Here is a 5,167-nt window from a genome sequence, read left to right as displayed (position 1 = left end):
ATTCCAACATCCCTCTCCTGCCCAGAGCATCACTCAAAAAATAGCCTGTGGGTTGCTATCTTTCAATTTATAATTTATTTCATCTCTTTATTTTAATCTTATAAGTTAACTTTGGTTGGACACAGTGCATTTGACTAAGCTAGCCATATTTGGATTGTTTTAATATTCACATTCATAGGACGTTAAAGGCATTGTGTAGCAGAAGCGTACTTGGTTTACACAATTGAAGAAGGCAAGTAACAAGGCACTGGCTTACAATTTCAGGGCACAGCCTCCGATATACCTAATATACACTTAAGATATGTGGGGACACAAAAGAAGAGGCCGAGTGTGCATGGAAAATCTCATTTTAGAGAAGACTATGACAGCATAAACTGTTATACTTTAGTAAGCCGTACAACTTCTCAAATATATGAAGAAAAAAGAAAGAAAAGAAAAAGAAAATGCCGTTTTCCAGCACAAAAACATCTCATTTATCAGTTACTAATTATATTCTGGTTAATTTAAAAAATGAAGTACAGATGCTCTGTAAGGGTGATAATCCTAAGCCACATTTTCATTCCTCTTGGATCCAGTATAAATAAACTTCTGTTGACTCCTTGAGGCTATTGTTCAAAGAAGGATTCTAAGTGTCAAATCCTCAAGCATTTCTGAGGCAGAAAGATGTAGAACCAGATGCTAATGTTTTCTTTCCAGTTAACCCCATGACTCTCCCTAAATATTCCTCAGGAATTTTTATAGTTCTTATTACAGAAACTTCTACAACGCATTAAATTCCAACGAAGAAATGGTAAAATTTGATGTTCATCAACAGTTTTACCATCCAACGAGCACCTGGAATTTCCTAAACAGATGTGATAATCATTACCATAACTTCTTGCAAGTTTTCAGTTTTCTTTGTTAATTGGATTGTTCTTTCTTTCTATATACTTATGTCTTGCACCCTTATATGGATATTAATATAGACAGTCAATAGTATATGTTAATTTTTAAAGTTAAATTCATTTTTCCTTCTGAGACTCCGTAAAACATTATAGGTGTGTACACTTTTAGGCATTTTAATATTTGATACTGTCTTTATATGATGTAAAATTTTTTTCTAAAAATAGACTTACAGGTCCAATTTTGTTCTATGGTGTTTCAAAATCTTCCTTAAAATAACTCTTTGCCAAACATAATATATTTATGTAATCAGACACAAGTGCTTACATAAATATAAACATATATATTATACAGATATTCATAAATATATAGAAATTAATATTTGAATATGTAATTTATCTACATATAAAAAAACTAGTTACACTAGAAATACTGATGAGCAGGCTTAGTGAACAATATTTTATAGGCATCCTTACCTTATCAGTATTTACAGATTCACACTATGTTAGTTACTAGCTACAAATAATATTGCCTTAAGAATATTTATTTAGTCATACTCTTTATGATAAAAGTTCACCTTATATGTACATATTTGCCATTGTATATAATGCATCAATGAACATCGTCAAGCATATGTCTCTGCACACTTATTTGACAATTCCAGTTTAAATAAATTATTCAAAATTCAAAGTCAAATTATTTGAATTTGTATAAGTGTCATTCTTCTTTAAAGCAGTTCCACAAATTTACTAGCACTAGTGTGTATGAAAGAATTCATATTATTTATGCACATCACATTTCAAAAATAATCAAATGAAGGTCATTAAATTATAACTTTTAATAAAATAACTATATTCATATGCCACATTAATCAAATAAGAGTAGAAAACAGAATATATTATTACATAATGTTCTTGCCCTATCAGCCATGAAGCAGATCAAAAGCCATTGCTAAGTAATACATATTCATATGTGTTTATTTTATAAAATAAACATTCTGTTATAAATTCACATGCTTTCATTACAAGTAGGATATAAAGGAACAGACCACATCCCTATTTTAGTGAAGCAACATAAAGTTAATTAAATGTGTTGCAACTTGTCTAGGGTTACTCTATAAAACTGGATAGCAGAAAGTAGTGGTTTGAAATCTGAAATATGCATAAGGTTCTTACATGTTTTAAACTAAGATTAATTAATTTTTCCACAAAAATAAACACTTCTGATATACTTTATTGGGCCATTTAAACTGAAATGAGATATTCCATAAGGAAATTTTGTCATAATATTAGATGAGATTATAATTAGGATTTTTAAGACTTTTAAAATTCTCTAATCTAGTCACATTTGTGATAGTCCATGTAATCATGTCATAATTATGAGTACTTCTATGTTTGAGTTGCAACTTTGGACTATTTATTTTTTATGTAATAAGATCCATTTTGTATACTTAGATTTACCAAAAATTTTCTTTATAACAACTTTGCAAAGGAAAAACGAAGAAAATGTTCATGATGATGGCGATAGGTTCTGATGTTTCTGAAACCACTTTCTGGGCTTGTTCTCCAAATAGCTTGGAGTGCGTTGTATTCACTTTCATGTTCACTAATGCCTTTTACTTCAACATCTGTATAACTAGCTACCTAATGTAGCTAAGTAGCTTAAAGGCATTAACTTATTCATACTTACAGAATCCAAAAATTTCTGAAAACCATAATACAGTTACTTAGCAGAAAACCTGAAGAAAACCAATTTAAGACTACTTATGTTCTTTATATGTCTCACTTAGTGTGATCATTTATAGCTGCAGAAATGTTAATGTGTTGCTATAGGGATAATTCTTAAGATGCTATGTAGGTTGTAAATATTGAATGTCATATGTGCTTGTTTGTTTTTCTGAAAGCCAAAAGTGTAGACTCATGTGATTCAGATGAAGGTTGAGAATATAAAACAGACAACAGATTAATTGTGCAACCATAATTATTAACCATCAAAAAGTTTGATGTAATATAATATGTCTCCAAGCTAATATTCATACTCTCAAATTGAGCTTCTCAACCCAAAAGAGTGAAAGACATTAGAATTTCAGTGTGAACAAGTTAATGGGAAAGAAATTAATATCAGAATAAAATTCCTAAGAGATCCCCAAAATACTATAATATACAAGTAGCTTATTTTAATTGTGGAAAGTCAACAGACTTGTTTTTCTTATTTTTATGAAGTTATTCCAAGAAGTTCAAAGATGACTAAAAAGTAAGAATTGGGTAACTTATACAATATGCTTTTATTTTTCATTGTGACTACTAAAGAGTTAGAATAAATTCCATACATATTTTCCTATTTTTCTCTCATTTTATTTTCCATTGTTACCTAATTGGATTTTTTTTTAGGAGATAACATTTTTTTCCTCCACATGTGTCTGCCTCCTTCACGACTGCAAGCCAACTCTGGCAGGTGAGGATAATGAGAAGACAATCTCTTCTCATTCACTCTCTCATCACTCACTGTGTTTCTCCCATTAGTTTCTTAGTTTTGCTCAGTGTCAATTTCACTGATGCCAAAAAGATACCATAGTTCTATGTTGTCTCCAAACCCGATTATCAGAGCAGCATGCTTTATTTCTCATGCCTAATCACATGTAAAATTTATTTTGACTTTCATTTTAGTTCATTAGAGATAGTGAATGCAAATCCATTGGTTATTTTATATTTGTTTTTAACATGTAGTTAATTTGTATTGTTTTGCTCTTTGTATAGAAAATGGCTAGCTCTTTTTGAAATAATACTAGCTAAAATGTGCATAGCATTTTTGTGTAAAGCATTTCTGATATTTTATTTAATTTCAGAGAAAAAATAAAAAGACTATTTTCTTCCCCATTCAAGTGAGAAGGAAACTAAAATTTAAAGCAATAAATATGCCTGTGACTACAACAATAATTAAGCAGTTGAGTACATATTGTATTCAAGCTGATTTCAAGCTAGCAGTTTTAACTACTTTTCTTCATGGCTTCTCAATATGACAGATATGATTTTAGTGATTATACAAATAGAAGACATTCATAAATAGGCTATTTTTGCTATTGCTGATAATATCATGCTACAGTTAAATAATACCATTTGTAGAAAACATGAAATACTAAAATAGCATGAAATTTATATTTAATAAGTTTAATAAAATCAGTGCAATATTGCTTGATATTTTTTGAATTAAGTGGGTGGGTACAATATTTAATATTTTACATGTCATATTCAGATTTAAATGATAAGTATTTTAAGACCTGAAGAAATCTAAGCTTGTAGAATGGTTGCAGTCTGAACAGTGTGAAATATGGTGAGTTGTAGTGGTTTAGAAAAATGACTCTGGCTATCTGCACTCAATCTGTGGCTCTAAAAGTCTCAGTTTTCGAATCTGCAAAGTGAGTAGGATAACAGTACCTACTTCACAGGGTCTAGACAGTATTAAATTAATTAATACATGTAAAATAGCTAGACAATTGTCAGGTTCATAAGAACTATGAATTTCTTTTGTAATTTTATAAAGTACATAAATATTGTAGTTAGAGAAACAGAAGTTTGTATTGCAACTTTGCTATCAGCTTGCACCTAGAGCATATATCATCCATCATAACAGCCTTTATAAAATATCTAGGAAATAGAGCTGATAAGATCTATTTTGAAATATGTGGAAAAGTTGCATATAAGAAAAGTGCATCTTAAAATATGGGGAAAAACCTAATTTTTAATTTGTTGAAAAATTATCCTATGAGTCAAAAGTTGTCCTATGATTGAAAAGATTGACAAGTACTTGTGAAGTACAACAAAAAAAGTGAGACAAGTCCTGGAAAATACTGAAAAATTGTATAACACATATTGAACAATTCTATATAAAGAGTTTCTACAATATAAATAAGAACAAGACCAACAATCTAATAAATAATCACAAGATAAACAGCAGTTTCATACAAACACCCACATACACACACAAACACAGAGATATGTAAATATTCCTAATATATAAAATAATGTTGAATCCTTCTTTTAATTAGAATTGAGCATAGTAAAATATTCTAAGGTCCCATTAATTATCTATGACATTGACAAAAATGCAATAATTTGATAATATATTCTGTCGGGAAACTTGTGGTTAAATGAATAAATTCATGTATCTCTTGTCTAAATGCAAAATAATAGAAGCACTGCGAAGAGAGATTTGACAAAATCTTGCAAAACGACATAGGCATTCACATTTTCAACCAGCAAAAGTATTTCAGGAATATATTTCTAAC

This window comes from Homo sapiens, chromosome 13, assembly GCF_000001405.40.
Source record: "Homo sapiens chromosome 13, GRCh38.p14 Primary Assembly".
NCBI lineage: Eukaryota > Metazoa > Chordata > Mammalia > Primates > Hominidae > Homo > Homo sapiens.
This window is presented reverse-complemented; position numbering follows the sequence as displayed.